General features: G+C 39.3%; 1 protein-coding gene and 1 non-coding gene across 19 annotated transcripts in view, besides 1 other annotated feature; one reads left to right on the top strand and one right to left on the bottom strand.

Annotated features, from left to right (window-relative positions):
* ERBIN (erbb2 interacting protein) overlaps nt 1-21,062 on the bottom strand; it is a 155,972-nt gene that overhangs the window by 113,401 nt on the left and 21,509 nt on the right. The window lies entirely within an intron of this gene.
* Nucleotides 7,271-7,380: an enhancer, noted in NCBI's record as "active region_22613". NCBI's record gives its function as "activates an Ori minimal core promoter by ATAC-STARR-seq in GM12878 lymphoblastoid cells {active_cell/tissue: GM12878}" and the evidence as "EXISTENCE:reporter gene assay evidence [ECO:0000049][PMID:35858748]".
* LOC124900212 (small nucleolar RNA SNORA76) lies at nt 7,827-7,963 on the top strand. Its single transcript, XR_007059159.1, has one exon. It is a non-coding gene; the product is annotated as a small nucleolar RNA SNORA76 (small nucleolar RNA).

Genomic DNA, 21,062 nt, shown 5'->3' with positions numbered 1-21,062 from the left:
CATTTTTTTCTTTTTGCTTTATCCTCCCGAAATTGACACATTAGCATTTTTTTAATTGACATATATCACAGTAGCATAAGGTCAATACTAACTCTCATTCACTTATATGCCCTTAAACGCGGTATTGCATTATTTTTACTAAAAGAAGGGAAGAGACCTCTCAATCACGATATTTCCCTTCTTATTTGAAACAAAGATTTGGGAAAACAAAGTAGTTGCTTCGTTCATCTACTTATTTATGAATTGAGCTACATAATTTCTCCAAATTTAAAAATAAAAGCAATAGGCCAGGCGCAGTGGCTCACGCCTGTAATCCCAGCACTTTGGGAGGCCGAGGCAGGTGGATCACCTGAGGTCTGGAGTTTTGAGACCAGCCTGACCAACACAGGGAACCCTGTCTCTACTAAAAATAGAAAAATTAGCAGGGCATAGTGGCAGGCGCTTGTAGTCCCAGCTACTCGGGAGACTGAGATAGGAGAATTGCTTGAACCCAGGAGGTGGAGGTTGCAGTGAGCCAAGATCGGGCCACTGCACTCCAGCCTGGGCAACGGAGCAAGACATCGTCTCAAATAAATTAATTAATTAAATCAAAATTAAATAAAAGTAATAATGCAAGTAATTCTGCCTACCTTCCTTCTTTACTCAATAAATGTAGGTCTTGTAACTAGTTTGATAGTGATGTCAATTTTCTTTTCCACAGAGCCTCTCAAAGTCTGGTAATTGCACCTTGCTGAATGCTACTCTAGTACTTAAATATATTTTCCACACAAGAAAGGCACTGAACACAAGCCAAATATATCTTATTTGATATTCAGTTGAAGAAACAGTGACTTTTTCTTGAACCTATAGAAAATCCTCACCGTGCCGGACAGAGAATGTATAATGGTCTCCCCATCATGATACCTTCTACTTACACTGACTTTAGAACTTAATCCCTAACCAACAAGATGCCACTATTTTGTAGAATGAGGTTGTGGTAGGTATAACATTTTCCACAAATTCTTTTACACTTCTCCCCTCAAGAGGTGAAATCCTCTTCCCCGTCATTGGAATAAGAGCTGGTCTTGGTGACACGCTTCTTAAAAACAAAATATAACAGAAGTGATGCTACATGACGTCCAAGGCTAGGATAAAAAGGCTAATACAGTTGCCACTTAGGCTTTTGCCCTTTTCCTTTCATCCACTTGCCCTCTGAAACCAGCCACTTGCTGTAAGGAAACTCAAGTCTTACCGAGAAGTCACACGCAGGTGCTCTGGCTCATGGCCCTGGCAACCATCTAACTGCAACCACGTAAGAATTTGAGCAAGAACCAACTAGCTAAGCCAAGATGAGCCCCAGACCCATGATAGGTAATACTGATGACTCTTCTTGGTTTATAATATCACTAAGTTTCAGATGGTTTATTTCACAATAAATAATTGGTATAAGGTCTGATTAACCAAAGGCATCTTTGTTGGAAGAAACAATCGTGCATTGCTTGACAGGATGTGTTCTAAGAAATGCACTGTTTGGCAATTTCATCATTGTACAAACATCACAGAGTCTACTTACAGAAACCTAGATGGTATAACCTACTACACCTCTAGGCTATATGGTGTAGCCTACTGCCACTAGACTAAGAACACGTACCGCATGCTGATGTACTGAATACAGCAGGCATCTGTGACACAATGATAAGTATTTGTGTATTTAAACATATCTAAACATAGAAACAGTGCAGCAAAAATATGGTATGAAAGATAAAAAAAAAACTAGTACACCTATTATAAATAGAGCTTGCAGGGCTGGAAATTGCTGTGGGTCAGTGAGTGAGTAGTGAGTGAATGTGAAGGTCTAGGACACTACTGTACACTACTGCAGACTTTATAAACACTTAGGCTATGTAAATTTATTTAAAATTTTTTTTCTTTAATAATAAACCTTAGCTTATTATAACGTTATAAACTTTTTCTTTTTAAAAAAATCTTAACTTTTGTAATAACATGGTGTAAAACACAAACACACTGTACAGCTAACCAGAATATTTTTTCTTTTTCTTAGAGATGGGATCTCTCTATGTTACCCAGGCTGGACTCAAACTCCTGGGCTCAAGGGATCCTCCCACCTCAGCCTCCTAAGTAGTTGGGACTACCAGGCATACACTACCAGGCCCAGCTCCTATATCCTTATTTTATATGCTTTTTTCTTCCTATTTAAAAGAAATTTTTTTTTAACTTTTTAAACTTTTTGGTTAAAAATGAAAACACAAACACACACATTAGCCTAGGCCTATACAGGGTCAGGATCATTACTATCCGTCTTCCACCTCCATATCTTGTCTGACTGGAAGGTCTTCAGGGGCAACAACACAACCGGAACTGTCATCTCCTATGATAACAATGCCTTCTTCTGGAATACTTCCTGAAGGTCCTGTCATGGAATGATTTACAGTTACCTTTTTTTTTTTTTTTTTTTTTTTTTTTTTGAGACAGAGTTTCACTCTTGTTGCCCAGGCTGGAGTGCAAGGGTGCGATCTTGGCTCACCGCAGCCTCTGCCTCCTGGGTTCAAGCGATTCTCCTGCCTCAGCCTTCCCAATAGCTGGGATTACAGGCATGCGCCACCATGCCCGGTTAATTTAGTATTTTTAGTAGAGACAGGGTTTCTCCATGTTGGTCAGGCTGATCTCAATCTTCCGACCACAGGTGATCCGCCCACCTTGGCCTCCCAAAGTGCTGGGATTACAGGCGTGAGCTACCATGCCCGGCCTACCTTTTTATATGGAGGAGCACACTCAAAGATAATAAAAGTTATCATATACTAAATACATAAACCAGTAACAGTTGTTTACTGTCATTGTCAAGTACTGTGTACTGTACATAACTGTACTTATACTTTTATACAACTGGCAGTGCAGAAAGTTTGTTTACACAAACATCAACACAACCCCATGAGTCATGTAATACACTTTAAAATTATGACAGCTATATCACTAGGGAATAGATATTTTTCAGCTTCATTATAATGTTATGAAACCAACATTGTTTATACAGTCTATCATTGACCAAAATGTCATTATGTGGCACATGACTGTATATTAAACAATTTTACAGAAAATGTTCAACTCTAACATTTCACATGAGAACATATACAGAAAAAGCCTAACATACCTTGTTATAGTAGAGGTTAACTGCACCGTCATTTTATTTGCATGTGATGATGCTTCAAGGGACACTATTTGATCCCATGGATTTATCAAGAGGATACAGGCATGACTAAATATATACAAGATGTCTGGGCTTAATGAGCTTACATTCCAAGAAGGAAAAAACAATAGTAAATGATAAGGAAAATTCAGATTGTGTTATGTGCCATGAACTAAAAACACATTAAGGGGAGAGGAATCAGAGGAAGAGCAACTTCAGACAGAGTGAACGAGAGAAATCTCACTGAAGGTTAAATCTGATAAGAATGGGGCCAGGTGCAGTGGTTCACACCTGTAATCCCAGCACTTCGGGAGGCCGAGGTGGGCAAACCACTTGAACTCAGAAGTTCAAGATTAGCCTGACCAACATGGTGAAACCCACCTCTACTAAAAATACAAAAATGGTAGCACATGCCTGTAGTCCCAGCTACCTGAGAGGCTGAGACAGGAGAATCGCTTGAACCCAGGAGGCGAAGGGTGCAGTGAGCCAAGATCGCCCACTGTACTCCAGCTCGGGCAACAGAGTGAGACTCCGTCTCAAAAAAAAAAAAAAAAAAAAAAAAAAAAAAAAAAAAAAAAACAACAAAAAACAAATCTGGTAAGAACAGCCTGTCATAGATCTGGAGAAAAGCAATCCAGCCAAAAGAGAAGGTATAAATGCCTGGATGTGGGAACAAACACCAGTGTGACCACCACATAATGAACACAGAAACAATTATGTAAGATGACATCACAGAACCCAAACAGACCAAGTACCCACCTTATAAATCATAATAAGCAGTTTACATTTTATTCTAATCACAATGAGAATTCATTAGAAAGTTTTAAACAAGAAGAGTAATATCTAATTTAAGTTTTTAAAAGATTGTTCTGGCCAGGCACAGGGGCTCATGCCTGTAATCCCGGTACTTTGGGAGGCTGAGGGGGGAGGATCACTTGAGGTCAGGAGTTCCAAACCAGCCTGGCCAACATAGTGAAACCCCATCTCTACTTAAAAAAAAAAAAAAAAAAAAAATTACACACACACACACACACACACACACACACACACACAAATCAGCCAGGCGTGGTGGCCCACGCCTGTAGTCCCAGCTACTTGGGAGGCTGAGGCAGAATCGCTTGAACCTGGAAGGCAGAGGTTGTAGTGAGCGGAGATTGTACCACTGCACTCTAGTCTGGGTGACAGAGCGAGACTCCATCTCAAAAAAAAAAAAAAAAAAAGATTGCTCTGGCTGCTGTATTGAGAAAGAGCTATAGAGAGGCAAGATTAGTGCAAATGTCTGCAGTACCTGAAAATCAATGCTTCTGCACAGGATATGTGTCATACAAATGTTGGCTATCATTATTATTATTGCTGTCATTATACACAGCCCATGTTTGTTGCAAGTACATAGTTTTCCTTCCTCTGACAAAGTATATATTCCTTGAGGATAGAATTTCAGTAATCTTATACAAATGAGTATATCAGAATTATCTGAAGATTTTACCAAACTACACTGCCTGTTCTCCAACCAGCAGGATTCTGCCCCAAAAGGCCTGGGACACAGTCAAGGTATGTACATGTTATGAGCTCTCCAGGTGATTCCAATATTGTGCCTTAAAACCACTAGTCAGTGCCATTCCTCTTCTGTATCCTCCTCTGATACAACACCAAATCAATGTGTAACAGATTTCTAGAATTAATGACACACACGTTCAATTATGAAGTAGCTGCTTTGAAGCAAATGTAGTAAGAGATTCACTACTGCTTAATTAGTTATATTTCAGGCCTCAAACAATCAGAGGTATTAACCTTCACCTAAATCCATCTAATACTAGAGTTTCATGGAACCCGACTTTCAACTTGAAAGAAAATAGTCACACCGGCCAGGCGCAGTGGCTCACGCCTGTAATCCCAACACTTTGGGAGGCCGATGCAGGCAGATCACAATGTCAGGAGACCAAGACCATCCTGGCTAACATGGTGAAACCCCGTCTCTACTAAAAATACAAAAAATTAGCCAAGCATGGTGGCAGGCGCCTGTAGTCCCAGCTACTCGGGAAGCTGAGGCAGGAGAATGGCTTTTATATTTAATACTCCAGGAGGCGGAGCTTGCAGTGAGTTGAAATCGCACCACTGCACTCCAGCCTGGGCGACAGAGCGAGACTCCATCTCAAAAAAAAAAAAAAAGAAAAGAAAGAAAATAGTCATACCAAAAACGCAAATCACTTATAAAAAAATAAAATTTGTCTATATTAAAATTTCACTACCAAATACAACTCAGCAGCGGTATCTTCATTTGTAAAGGAACAATACATTCTCATTTATTTTCCCTAAGAATTTCATGTAAAGTAGTTTTTTTTGTTGGTTTTTGTTTTGTTTTTGAGATGGAGTTTCGCTCTTGTTGCCCAGGCTGGAGTGCAATGGCACGATCTCAGCTCACTGCAACCTCCACCTCCCGGGTTCAAGCGATTCTCCTGCCTCAGCCTCCGGAGTAGCTGGGATTACAGGCACCTGCCACCATGCCCAGCTAATTGTTTTGTATTTTTAGTAGAGACGGGGTTTCACGGTGTTGGCCAGGCTGTCATGTAAAGTTTTTAAAGATCAAAAGTAAACTCTAGATATAGTTGACAGAGTGATAACTTGAGAATTCCATTTGTTTGGTTGTATCCTACCTCAAAGTTGCCAATTTAATATTACTCAGTTAATAGTTTCCAAATAATAACAACCAATGCATATAGGAAACTACTTTAGAAAAGAACAAAAGAATAAAAAAGTAATTTATTCACCTTTATTTGGATGGATCTATGAGAATTATTGTTATGCAATAAAAAGCTATTCTAAAGTAGTTATTTTAATTAATTCTATCAAAAATTTACCTTTTAAAAAGTAATCAATCACATGATGAAACTTCTGTGAATAATGGAATTATGACCTGATACTCAAATGAGACAAATGTATATTTTGTTGTTTTAAAAAATTAATCTCAAGACAGATCATCTGGAAAACAAAAAACCTTTATCTGGTAACTGGAAAAGTTAATATCCTATGAACAACCACTGTAAGAATTACAAATCAAAAGCATTAGACTAAATGAAACAATCCTAATTTTCAAAGTTTTAAATTTTAGAACCATCCTTAATTAGTATTACTAAACCAAACTGTTCATTGATGAACAATATCAGATTTAAAGAGGCTTTAATTAGAAGTGCATAGTTACACAGAGAGTATTAGTAATGGAAAAATAATTTTGCCAGTTCAAGTATTACTTGTTTATCTTTCTAACCTCAGGATGAGCCTTATGTTTGAAGAAAATTGTGGGCCCTGATGAAAATTACTAAAAGAGGGGGAAAATAATTTAAGATACTTAATTCCCCAGTATTAAATATAAAAGCAGGAATATGAAACACCTTCATTTATGAAATGTCTAAATATAAATATACCATTATTTAACACACTATGTTATAGTAAAAAGCTACGGAGATTTAGGCAGAACCATAGTATACAAATTCAGTTTCTTCTCTCACGTTGCATAAGTCCTAACATTTGGTTTTAGTTATTCCACACCCAAATTACACACACATACACATTTGTAAACCTGTATTTTAAACTATGAAGCCTTATGGATGGATTCTGACATTTTTCTAGTAGCTTAATAGCCAATTTCTCCAATTTCCCAATAAAATTTTCATAATGGCAATTTATGAAGAAAAGAAGAAATGTTGTAATCAAACACATTTTATATACATTTTGGGACACAAGTCAGGAAGGAAATCACTGACCTATAGAACTTTTGCATTCAAATGTAAAAGCACTCACTCTTGATTCTCTTTATTCAGATATCATCTTTAATATACATTATACATTTACAAATAACAATTGCTCTTCCATCCACATAGCTTTAAAAAATGCGACATAGTCAAGCACTCTAGTAATTACTCTAGCAGGCATTTCTTTCAGATATTAACTTAAAATATATACAACTTATAAGAAACCTTACTTGGTTTTACAACAACTCTCTGGTAAAAAATGTCAGACAACTAGCTTTCTGCAGCACCAAAAAGATACAGTACTATGTAAGGCACCTCATTAGTGACTCATCTGTATGCTCCCATGATACCAGCACAGGAATCATGTGAGTCAAATTGACCACTTGCTCTCAAAACCAAAAAGCACCCTCCCCACCAAAGATACCTAAAATTCATCACCACACATTCTCTACCTCAAATGTAAAAGAAGTAGACTACAGAATAAGAGAACTGACAAAAAAAAGTCATCAATAGTCATACTTAGTATTACAAAATAAAGCTGGAATTTCCTAATGGAAATAAGTCTAGATGCTCTTTATTAGACTCCCAACCCCCTCAAAAACAGCATTTTCACTAACTTTAACTGCTAGCTAATGTTAACTTACAAGTCCATGGATCAACCACAAATTAAAAACTCCTGCTCTTAATAATTACAATTAATACATATACATTGGCAATACAGATCTACAATCTCTTATCCAAACTCTTCAGGCCAGTAGATGTGTTTCAGAATTGAGAATTTTTCATTTTGGAAAATACTGCTGCAGGGAAGTATAATTTACAAATATTAACTCTGATGGGAAAACGATATAAATAAACACCAGTATCAGCCTCACATCACAGTTCAGCGTAAGTCACATTTTATCAACCAAATGAATTAGGGAAAAAAGTTCATGCCCAGGGGTGAGACTATAGTGCCAGAACACTTGCTTGTGCATAATTAAGGCCACTTGCCCTCTTCAGGTAGCCCTTTTAACTGGGAGCAAAGTGAAGACAGCAAAAAAAGAGAAAAGTTCAATTTTCAGGAATTTCTGAATTTCAGAATTACACAGAAGGAATTGTGGACCTAAAATTGGAATGTTTTAAGAAGGTTTTTAATCAAATGTTTAAAATTTTTCCCTTTTAATGGAAATTAAACACATATGGATAGGGAGGTTTAGGGAATTAAGACAGTCAGTGGTTGTCAAAAGAGTCATTTTGAAAATACATGATAACATTTTCGTTGTCAAAATGAATAGACTTGCCAAAGGCCAGTGATGGTTAATATCCTGTACCAACTTTCAAATGTCCTCCAGCCATGAAGCTGAAAAAAAAATTATAATTATCTAAGCCTAGAACCTAACTGTAAACATATAAAGACAAAGGGATGGAGTTTTTTTACACACTAGTTTAACAGATTGTAAATTAAGGGAAGATTAAACTTGCTTGAAATTTCCCCAAGTGTTGTCTCTCCACTTCAAAAAATCTTGTCAAGGATAGCAATGCCTCTCTTAATTATAATTTGGTTGTCAATCTGCATGAGTAGCAGTTGCATTCATGAAGAGCCTACATCCAAGGGCAAAAGCATCTAATCAGTGATTCTTAACTCTGGCGGCACATGAGAATCATCTATGCCCAGGCCAACACCCTTAACCAATTAAATTAGAATCTCTAGAAGGTAGGACATAGGCATCAGTATTTTCGCTCTGTTTCATTGTTTGTTTTTGAGGTAAAGTTTACGTATAGCGAAATGCAGAGGTCTTAGGTGTACAACTCTCTTGGAGTAATAAACACCCCAATCAAGATACAGGACATTTCCACTACTCAGAAAGTACCCTCCTGCCCCACATCCAGTCAATGCCCCTACCAAGCAATCACTCCTCATATTTCTAATGCTATAGCCTCATTTCTGCACTTCATATAAACATAATCCATCATATAGTGTGTACTCTTCTGTATCAGACTTCTTTCACTAAACACAATGTTTCAGAGATTCATTCATATACATTTCATCATGAAAAAAGTAGTTCATTCTTTTTGACTGCGGAGCAGTATTCCAGCATATGAATATACTGCAATTTGTTTATCTGTTCTTTCTGCTGACTGACAGCAGAGCTGTTTTAATTTGTGGACTATTAAAGCTGTTATAAATCTCCCTATACATTTTGGGGACATGTTTTCACCTCTCTTGGGCAAATACCTAGGAGTGGAACTGATGTAGCTGTATGTTTAATTTTAAAAGAAACAGGTATCAACACTTTTTGAAGGTTCCAGTTAACTCCAACGCAAAGCCTTAACAATATTTTCTAATGAGGTCATGGCAAAGTATTCTAACATTTTTGTCTGTCACGTGTTCTTTGTTCCAGTCAAGAAAAAATCATGTTGCTTTTTCTTCTTTTAAATTATTTGTATGGGTTGGAAGATTATACTACCTATGAATTTCACTTGAAACAGAAAAAAAGGGGCATTTAAATATATATGCTATATAAAAGGGGGCACACAGTCATAAGTGTCATACGATTTGAGAACCAGATGAATTTGACTGAACCTGTCATCAGAAAAATAAAAATTTATGTGTAATTCCAATGTTGTATTCAATTTGTATTTGAGAACTATGAAGTCCATCCTCAGAATACTTACAAGTCCATGGACCAACCCCAAACGAAAATCTCCTGCTCTTACATTAAATTGTATGAGTCTTGACTTCACTTTGTGTAAGATGACCAAAGCTAGAAATCATAAAATATATTAAACTACATAAAACATATGACAAAGGACACTATCAACTGTGTTTTTAAAAGTTATAAAATTAAAGAATCTAAATATTAATACTTCTTCCAAATCAATAAGATGGCCTCCATAGAAAAATGAAAAAAGGGCAATAAACACATGACTCCTGAAATGAAATAAAACCGGCCAGAATATTTAAGATGCTCACCTCATTAGATGAATTTTTAAGTGATCAAATTACCATTATTTCCACCAGATTGGCAATTAAAAAAAAAACTGGTAACACCACGTGTTAGCTAGCATTATATAGACACATCTATTATCGCATTCTTAGTGGAAGCATATAATAGTATAAATGTCCTTGATGACAATTTGACAACACGTATAAATAAAGTTAATGTGTATACGCAATGTCTACTTTTAAAAATTTACCCTTAGAAAAAGTACAGATGCTCCTTGTCTTATAATGGGGGTTACATGCCGATGAAATATTTTCCACTTATGATAGGTTTAAGTAAAAAATGCATTTAATACACGTAACCTATCAAACATCATAGCTTACTCTAGCCTACTTTAAGCATGCTCAGAACACTTACATTACCCTGCAGTTGGGCAGAATCACCCAACACAAAGCCTATTTTATAAGAAAGTGTTGAACACATCATGTACTCTACCAAACACTGTATTGAAAGTGAAAAACTGAATGGTTGTATTGGTACTCAAAGTAGGATTTCTATTGAACATGTATTGCTTCACACCATCATAAAGTAAAAAAATCCTACATTTCCCTCCCCCTCCCCCTCCCTCACGGTCTCCCTCTCTCTCCCCCTCTCCCCACGGTCTCCCTCTCCTTCCACGGTCTCCCTCTGATGCCCAGCCGAAGCTGGACTGTACTGCTGCCATTTCTGCTCACTGCAACCTCCCTGCCTGATTCTCCTGCCTCAGCCTGCCCAGTGCCTGCGATTGCAGGCGCGCACCGCCCCGCCTGACTGGTTTTCGTATTTTTTTGGTGGAGACGGGGTTTCGCTGTGTTGGCCGGGCTGGTCTCCAGCTCCTAACCGCGAGTGATCTGCCAGCCTCCGCCTCCCGAGGTGCCGGGATTGCAGATGGAGTCCTCGTTCACTCAGTGCTCAATGTTGCCCAGGCTGGAGTGCAGTGGCGTGATCTCGGCTTGCGACAACCTCCACCTCCCAGCCGCCTGCCTTGGCCTCCCAAAGTGCCGAGATTGCAGCCTCTGCCCGGCCGCCACCCCATCTGGGAAGTGAGGAGCGTCTCTGCCTGGCCGCCCATCGTCTGGGATGTGAGGAGCCCCTCTGCCCGGCTGCCCAGTCTGGGAAGTGAGGAGCGCCTCTTCCCGGCCGCCATCCCATCTAGGAAGTAAGGAGCGTCTCTGCCCTGCCGCCCATCGTCTGAGATGTGGGGAGCGCCTCTGCCCCGCCACCCCGTCTGGGATGTGAGGAGCGCCTCTGCCCGGCCGCGACCCCGTCTGGGAGGTGAGGAGCCCCTCCGCCCAGCAGCCGCCCCATCTGAGAAGTGAGGAGCCCCTCCGCCCGGCAGCCGCCCCGGCTGAGAAGTGAGGAGTGCCTCCGCCCGGCAGCCGCCCCGTCTGAGAAGTGAGGAGCCCCTCCGCCCGGCAGCCGCCCCGTCCGGGAGGTGGGGTGCGCCTCTGCCCTGCCGCCCCTTCTGGGAAGTGAGGAGCCCCTCTGCCCGGCCTCCACCCCATCTTAGAGGTGTACCCAACAGCTCATTGAGAACGGGCCATGATGACGATGGCGGTTTTGTCGAATAGAAAAGGGGGAAATGTGGGGAAAGGATAGAGAAATCAGATTGTTGCTGTGTCTGTGTGGAAAGAAGTAGACATGGGAGACTCCATTTTGTTCTGTACTAAGAAAAATTCTTCTGCCTTGGGATGCTGTTGATCTATGACCTTACCCCCAACCCGGTGCTCTCTGAAACGTGCTGTGTCTACTCAGGGTTAAATGGATTAAGGGCGGTGCAAGATGTGCTTTGTTAAACAGATGCTTGAAGGCAGCATGCTCGTTAAGAGTCATCACCACTCCCTAATCTCAAGTACCCAGGGATACAAACACTGCGGAAGGCCCCAGGGTCCTCTGCCTAGGAAAACCAGAGACCTTTGTTCACTTGTTTGTCTGCTGACCTTCCCTCCACTGTTGTCCTGTGACCCTGCCAAATCCCCCTCTGCGAGAAACACCCAAGAATGATCAATAAAAAAAATAAAATAAAATAAAATAAAAATTTAAAAAAAAAATCCTACATTGAACCATCCTAAATTGGGGACGATCTGTACTAAAAAATACACCTAGACATATGTACCACAGTTTCACAAAAAGGGTTAAATTATAATAGCAAAAAATAATGGGAGAGGGTGCTAAATAAATATACCTTAGTAGTGACTGGTTAAATATATTCTGACTCATCCAAACAACTACATTCTAAGCTGCTTGTAATATTATTACCATACACAAATAGCAGCATGGTTATACTACCTTAAAGAAAGCCAGGTGTGGTGGCTCACACCTGTAATCCCAACACTTTTCAAAATCCCCGTTTTGGGTGTATTGTGGAGATCACTGGTGATACAACAATGTCATCTTCAAGTGGAATTATTAAAGTGTTCACCAGAAATCCAACTCCAGCTACGTTGTGCTTCAGGGTGAAAAAATATTGGCAGACTAGAGCAGATTCTTCCAAATGCACAACTTGTGTTCAGGTTTATATACTTTTTGTTTTGAAGGTTGAAATTTCTTTTTAAGAAATTTTTTCCCGCCAGGAGCAGTGGCTCACACCTGTAATCCCAACACTTTGGGAGTCTGAGGCAGGTGGACTGCTTGAGCCTAGGAGTTCGAAACCAGCTAGGCAACATGGCAAAACACCATCTGTACCAAAAAAAAAAAAAAAGTAAAAAAATTAGCTGGGCGTGTGTGGTGGCGAGTGTCTGCAGTCCCAGGCTGAGGTGGGTGAATCGCTTGAGCCTGAGAGGCAAAGGTTGCAGTGAGCCGAGATCACACCGCCACTGCACTCCAGCTTGGTGACAGAAGCGAGACTCCATCTCAAAAAAAAAAAAAAAAAAATCACCTGAAAGAATGCTGTATGATTATTAATCATCCCAGTTCAGTGAAAAGATAAGTAAATGAATGCATGCATGCATGCTATATGGGCATTTAAAAAACATCACCACTACCACCACACACCCACACCCCGAAGGGCCTTCAGTTTCTAATCCCCAACTACCACCAGATTCAATAATGCAGTAGACACTCTACCACAGAGAGCATTCCTAATATCTAACAACAGCCACATTCTAACATAACATTGGACAAATGTGAACTCTTCTTGCTATACAGTGGTCTCCCCTTATTAGGGGTGAATACATTTCCAGATCCCTCAGAATATACCTGAAACCACAGATAGTGTCGAACTCTATACACACCATGTATTGTTGCTCTAATAACTGAGACAGCTACTACTAAGTGACTAATGGGCGGGTATCATATATAGATATGGTAAACAAAGGGATAATTCATATCTTGCCCTGGATGGTGCATGATGGCACAAGATTTCATCACTACTCAGAACAGCATGCAATTTCAAACTTACAAATTATTTCTGGAATTTTCCATTTAATATTTTTGGACTGTAGTTGACTGTGGGTAACTGAAATTGCAGAAGGCAAAGCCTTGTGTAAGGGAAAACCGTTGTAGTTGTCACTGAATTCTAACAACTTACTGACCTGAAGACAGCCAAAATCACCTGGGATATGAGAAAATTTTCTCAAAGAAACACATATATCAATCTATATTCTGATGTTTGTTTGTTTGTTGAGATGGAGTCTGTCACCCATGCTGGAGTGCAGTGGCACAATCTTGGCTCACTACAACCTCTGCCTCCCAGGTTCAAGCGATTCTCCTGCCTCAGCCTCCCAAGTGGCTGGGATTATAGGCACCCGCCACCATGCCCAGCTAATTTTTCTATTTTTAGTAAAGATGGGGTTTCACCATGTTGGCCAGGCTGGTCTTGAACTCCTGACCTCAAGTGATCCGCACACCTCGGCCTCCCAAAGTGCTGGGATTACAGGCATGAGCCACCATCCCCGGCCCCTCAGAGTTGATTTTCTTTTCAAGAAGCAGATTACAGCAATTGAGAAGCAATGCCAAAAGCTAAAAAAATTCAGTGTTTCTAATTCAGCACATACTTTGTAGACACAAAAATTCCTAAATATTCTTGTTGGCCCCCCTATGTGCTAGCATAATTTTCTTTAGAAAAAAAATGGTTGGCATTTTTTAAAAATCCGAACCATTTTAAGACTTTTTTTAACATAAAAGTTGTCCTAAGAATCTATGGTGCACTTTTTGTTTTGTTTTTCTTGTTTTGTTTTTATAAGACGGAATCTCGCTCTGCTACCCAGGCTGGAGTGCAAGTGGGGCAATTTCAGCTCACTGCAACCTCCGCCTCCCGAGTTCAAGCGATTCTACTACCTCAGCCTCCTGAGTAGCTGGGATTACATGCGCCCACCACCATGCCCGGCTAATTACTGTATTTTTAGTAGAGACGGAGCTTCACCATGTTGCCCAGGCTGGTCTCAAACTCCTGACCTCAAGTGATCCCCCACCTCGGCCTCCCAAAGTGCTGAGATTACAGGTGTGAGCCATCGCACCTGGCCTACAATGCATTTTTTTTTTTTCAGTTCTGAAAAACCTCATTCTTTGAGCAAAGATATTCCTGCTAAAATTGTTTCACACTCAATTTTTAAACTTTCGTGGGACATGCCAACCTCAATAAATAATCACATTTGTAGTATATTTATCAAGATAAGTGCTATATATTCATAAAAGCAAATTAACAAAAAAGAAACAGCATGAAGTAGTATTTACAGCACTATGAAACAAATCAAACTAAAATGTTACAATGTTCATCATTTTCATTAAACTGAATCCTCAAATTTGATGTACTCAGGTCCACATGTAACCAAAACTGGACTGGCAAGACTGTCTTACATGGAACAAAGGGCTCTCTCACTTTCTAATACAGTATAGTACTCTCACCTGTTACTCTCATCTCTTGCACAACATACTTTCCCAAGAGTCAATGCATAGACTAAAAAGACTAATTTTCACCAATTCCTACGTGTTTTTCAAGCACAGGACACAACCTCTGAAACCGGAGTTGCAGCTCAGCTCTTTTTTCCTTCTCCTCTCCCCCACAGATTATTTTCAAAATGTATTACTCTCGAGAACAATCTGGGGGTGAGAGGAGAACAATCTAGGTGGGGGGTAAATTATATGCGCTTTTAATATATCGTCTCAATCAAAGACAAGCTGATTCCCTCCACACATCATTATTACCCAACTGTCAGTCAGCAAACTAAACCCAACTGATGTGTTCTTTGGTCACCACAGTTTTAAAAGGGGTAGCGGGTAGGAGAGTAGAGAGTGTAGGGGAGTAACGAGTGTAGGGAAACCAACATTCTGAAATCAGTAAGTTTTACATTTTAAAAAAGAATCCAGGTCTATAATGTTTGGGGGAGGGGGGTCTAATTTCATGCATAGGCACAAAAGAATGTCGAAATTAATGTTCTACAATCCCCCACAGCCTAAACATTCCTAGCTTATATGCAATATGAGATGTGTTGGCTTATGAATGTGCCACCTCTGCTTTATATCAAAGGACTGACAACCAAAAACTATTCCCAGATAATCCATGTCTTAATATCAGTAAGCTTCTAGTTTCAAAACAACAAAGAAAAAATTCACTTGGGTGGGTTAAGTAGAACTATCAAGAAAAACTTAGCAAATAATTGATATCAAATCTCCCCACAATGTTTGTACTACATTTTTTTTAAAGCATAATAAATCCCAGTTGAATTTTCCCAAGGTAGAGTATTGTGACTTGGACGACCACTGTAGTTTTCAGGAAACAGAAATGTAGCAACATGGATCCCTTAGACCTAAACAACAGTGGCTCAAGCCCTGGATTCCTTGAGTTAGGGGGTACCACTCCAGCTATACAACCCTCCCCATGAAGCAAGGAGTCTATTGCGCCAAGAGGACTTGTCTAACTGGAGCACATTTTCTCCCCTAATGCTACATCATTCTATGGGTATGCAGAACCTAAAATATCTGCCCAAACAGCCCTCAACAAGCTTCCAAAGCCTCTTTCACCAGATCAGTACTCCAGAAGGAAAACTATACCAACTAGACTGTGTATCCTTAGGCTTGAAGGGTACCAAGAGTCAACTGTATGCAGAGGATGTGAACATGTTGCTTGGGATGTCTATACAGGTCTGCCCAAATACTCTTAATTGTAGTAACGAGCAGTGGAGAAAGCAGAAGCAGAGAGGGCTGTGGACCAGAAGCCAGATGGTAACTTTGTACCACCACAGTCTGATACAAGAAACTCCAACAAGTCTGAAAATACTAAATTCTAACCTGGCCTCCCAGGGTCTTATTATGGTATACTTACGAAGGAAGGAGGACGAAACTTTTTTTTTGGCAAGTTCTTTTTTAAGATTGATTTATAACTTTTAAATTAGACGTACGGTATGTGACACTCCATTTGTACTCTTGTTCCTAGACCCACAAAAGTTAAGCGCAAGCATGTCTGAAAGGCTTATTTCTCCAAATCATCTCAATCTAAATAAAGCATTTGGATAAGATCCTTTAAGCTAATAGTATTCACTAAACTGTAAACCACAAGTTCTATGAGTTTCAAATTAAGACAAATTAATATACAAGGTATCTGTAAAGTCAAGAAGCATAAAAAATTTTAAAGTATGCTAGCTACATATTCATATAATATGCTCATTATGTTTTTCTTCTATTTCCATATACCTTTTCAGGGAAAGTATCTCAAAGTTTAAACAGTAAGTCCAATTGTTAATCTAGAAAAAAAAAAAGTATAACAAATACACAAGCCAGGAGCAGGGGCGCCAACCCATGGTCTCATTATAATCACAGCTACTTGGCAGGCTGAGGTGGTAAGATCACTTGGGGCCAGGAGTTTGAGGCTGCAATGCACCATGATCATGCCTATGAATAGCCACTGAACTTGTGCCTGGGAAGCATAGTGAGAGCCCATCTCTTTAAAAAATAAAAATAAAAATTTTAGAAGTATAATACAGTATTTAACCTGTTATTCCAGACTTTGTGGACTCTCTGTAGTATATCTATGGTGCTTTTTCCCCCAGATTAATAGAATATACTGCTTCAAATTCAGCACCAGTGAACGGGTCTGAAAGTTGGGGGGAAAAAAAAAGCTAATGATTCTTTATGTGAAAATATAACAGATATAAAAATAAGAGTATCCTGTGTTTTCTGACTTTTCAGGTATACCGTTCAATTATACTTAGGGCCATCTGTCTGGCAGTCATCCCACAGAACATGAGTCCTAATGTCTGAATTGTATTTACATTCTATTGGGAAAATCACACAAGCAGAAAATCTATAAATGCAGATTCAAACTTGCAAAGTAAATCCACGATGACATGTTGTCCAAAACTTGCGACAGTTCCAAGAGAAAGACAAGAAAATTAACATCATAAGGCACTTAACAGCATACATGTGTCAAACACAAATGAATCAGTCATGATACAACCTCCAATTAAATTTCAGCAAAACATCATTTGTTATATGAATTTGGTATTAATGAAAATTTAAATAAATGTTATAGTTTATATACAATTAACTTGTGCTGTTATAACTGTAACCACAGTCTAAAAACAAGGACTTTATACATAGCTTTACGAATGGAGATATTTAAGTACCACTATTTTGAAAATTCAACATTGAGGTGGTATTCCTTGATTTTTTGTTTTTCATTTAATTGAGCTCAAAAGTTTACAAAAATTATAAAAGTTTAGGAAACACTGCTCTAAAATAGCTATGGTGACTAAGCCTACTGAATTTACTACTCACTGGTCTCTGCAGAGGACCTAAAAATACACACCATTTCCAACTTCAAAATTACAGAAGTTATTTAACTGAACGTATCAAGGCCTCACGACAGATTTCTCATTCAGCTTAAATTCTTTATCTTAATATTATTTTTTCATTCACATAATACTTATTGAGCACTTATTATGTGCCAGATACTGCTCAAGGTAATGAGGTAGAGAACAAAGCTAAAATTCCTGCCCTCATGAAACTTATTTCTAATGCAAGAGAGAGAAACACAATAGTCTAAGTAGTCTAAATACTAAATAAGGTAAACTGCCAGAGAGGGAAAAAGATGTGAAAAATACTTAAGAGGCCAGCAGTCTTTAGAATTAGCATCCCCTCATCATACCAATTTTAGGTTCACTTGAAAAATTCACTAATGGGGTTAAACTGAGGGCTTCCACCGGCGTGTCACCAGCATTTAGTCTCTATATAGAATCCAGCTACAGTCCAGCACACACTTGATTGGTGATCAGTACCTTCACAAAATCTACCTTCTAATGTAACAGCACAGCAAGAATTGAGATCCAGAACAATCTTACAGATCAAATGAATTTCAAAAGTGTAAAGTGACTGTATTTGATTGCCCCTTTTTACTACTCTTTACTGGCTTAAGTTTTTACATGAACTAGATACAAGCCCTCTTACTATGCCATATTCTCTTTCATATGCCAATGACATACCCCTTAAAAGACAACTGATCCTACAGGAAAAAAAAAAAATACATATGAATGCTAAAATTACTAGTCAAACCTTTAAGGAGAAATAGTATCAAAGTATCTCCCCGAAAATATCTATATGGTGGTTTAAACATGCCTGCAAATTATTTGGTACTTCTCTCTCAAGAAGGCAGAGCTTAGCTCCCCTCACCCTAAGGGTGAGCTGGGCTTCTAACAGATCCATGATGGAAAAGTAAAAATAGTAACTTTACAGTGGAGAAACCTGGCAGACACCACCTTACCCAAGTGATCAAAGTTCAAATCACTGGTAATAAATAATGTTAATATCATACCCTTTTCTTGATATGGTAAGAAAAGCACTTCCCTTGCGTGATATTCTTTCTAAATATCCACAATCTAACATAATCATGAAAAAAATCAGAAAAACCCAAACTTAGAAACATTCTACAAAATATCCAACCAGTACTCTTCAAAAATCAAAGTCATGAAAAACAAGGAAAGACTGAGAAATTGTCAGATTGGAGGAAACTAAAGACCTGAGGCCGGGCGCCTGTAATCCCAGCACTTTGGGAGGACAAGGCAGGGGGATCACGAGGTCAGGAGATCGAGACCATCCTGGCTAACACGGTGAAATCCCGTCTCTACTAAACATACAAAAAATTAGCTGGGCATGGTGGCACACGCCTGTAGTCCCAGCTACTCAAGAGGCCGAGGCAGGAGAATCCCTTGAACCTGGGAGGCGGAGGCTGCAGTGAGCAGAGATCACACCACTGCACTCCAGCCTGGGCGACAGAGCGAAACTCCATCTCAGGGGAGCGGGGAAATACCTGAAAATTGGGCTGGGCAGATATTTTAGGTTCCTGCATACTGTAGTGGCTCACGCCTGTAATCCCAGCACCTTGGGAGACCTAGGCAGGAGGATCATTTGAGGCCAGGAATTTGAGACCAGCCTGAGCAAGGTAGCAAAACTGTCTCCACAAAAATGAAAATTAAAAAAATAAAAGACATAAAACTAAATACAACATGGTCTCTTACACTGGATCCCAAAATAGCAAGAGGACATTTGTGGAAAACTTGATGAAATTCAATTAAACTCTGTAGTTTAATTAATAGTATTTTATCAAGGTTAATTTCTTAGTTTTGATAAATGTACCATGTCTATATAAGATGTTGATACTAAGAATCCTCTGGACTATTTAGCAGTTCTTCTAGAAATATATAATTACTTCAAAATAAAGTTTTTCTAAACGACAACTAATCCAGTTATTTAACTTATTGTGAAAAAGGAATGGCTGAACATTAGCTGGAGGAATTACGTCTGACAGCAGCACTCATATCCCAACATTCAACCATTTAGTGTTAACACTTCACTTCACCTCCTTCAATTACCAGAAAGTGGGGTTTTTTGCTTGTTTTTTAGCTAGTACAGTCAAACAAAGTGAGACACTACCCTGCCCGAAATTAAATATTTCCTGGGACTGGGACTCAGTATTTTTTTTATAGCACAGATGTGACTGGTAACTATTAGAAAGTCTGAAAATCTCCTCATATTCTTTAGTATTTTCAGGGGTCTTCAAAGCACTTGCATCAAGTGCCAGAAGTAGATCTATACCTGACTCCTGAATAAACTATAAACTTTATAATAATATCAAGTAGCCCTTGTGGAGAAGAAAGGGACTTCTACGTAAATATAAATATTTCTCAACTTTCTTAATATGATACTAAACATACCATTTCCTCAATTGATTTTGCATCAAGAAGCAAAACATGGCCAGGCACGGTGGCTCAAACCTGTAATCCTAGAACTCTGGGAGGCCAAGGCGGATGGATCACCTGAGGTCAGGAGTTTGAGACCAGCCTGGCCAACATGGTGAAACCCCGTCTCTACCAAAAACACAAAAATTAGCCGGACATGGTGGAAAATGCCTCTAATCACAGCTACCTGAGAGGCCGAGGCAAGAGAATCGCCTGAACCTGTGAGGTGGAGGCTGCAGCGAGCTGAAATTGGGCCACTGCACTCCAACGTAAGTGACAGAGGGAGACTCTGTCTCAAAAAAAAAAAAAAAAAAACGCAAAACAGAACTCCAGTATGTCATCCTTTCATTAGGAAATAAAGTCCTGAAATTGTCTGTTACTCATGTAGCAAAAATCAAAATTAGAATAATGATGTTTAGAGGGATGTAAGCAATACTGTTTCCATAAATGGCTATGTCTATGTTATCTTTAGGTCAAGTTAGAAACAAAAAAATCTACCATTGTAAACTACATTAGCCTACCCTCACATATAATTTATCTTCCCTGAGCGTTTTGTATATTTTACCCTTCTCTTTTTATTATTTAAATAGAAAAAAAACCAGCTGGATGCAGTCGCTCACACCTTTAAAGCCCAGCACTTTGGGATGCTGCAGCAGGAGAATCATTTGAGCTCAAGAGTTCAAGACCAGCCTGGGAAATACAGTGAGACCTTATCTCTACTTAAAAAAAAAAAAAATTAGCCAGTCATTGTAGCCCGCACTTGTAGTCCCAGCTACTTGGGAGGCTGAGGCGGGAAGATTGCTTGAGCCTGGGATGCCCAGGCTGCAGTGATCAACCCACTGCACTCCAGCCTGGGACACAGAGCAACATCCTGGGACACAGAGCAACATCCTGTCTCAAAAAAAACAAAAACAAACAAACAAAAAAGAACTCATGAAAAAGATCTTGACAGCTATAGAATACGTGCTGTAAAATCGTTCTCAACAACACTGTC

The sequence above is a fragment of the Homo sapiens genome, chromosome 5 (genome assembly GCF_000001405.40).
Source record: "Homo sapiens chromosome 5, GRCh38.p14 Primary Assembly".
Taxonomy (NCBI): Eukaryota; Metazoa; Chordata; class Mammalia; order Primates; family Hominidae; genus Homo; species Homo sapiens.
Note: the sequence above shows the minus strand (reverse complement) of the source record. Positions and strands in the feature narration are given on the sequence as shown.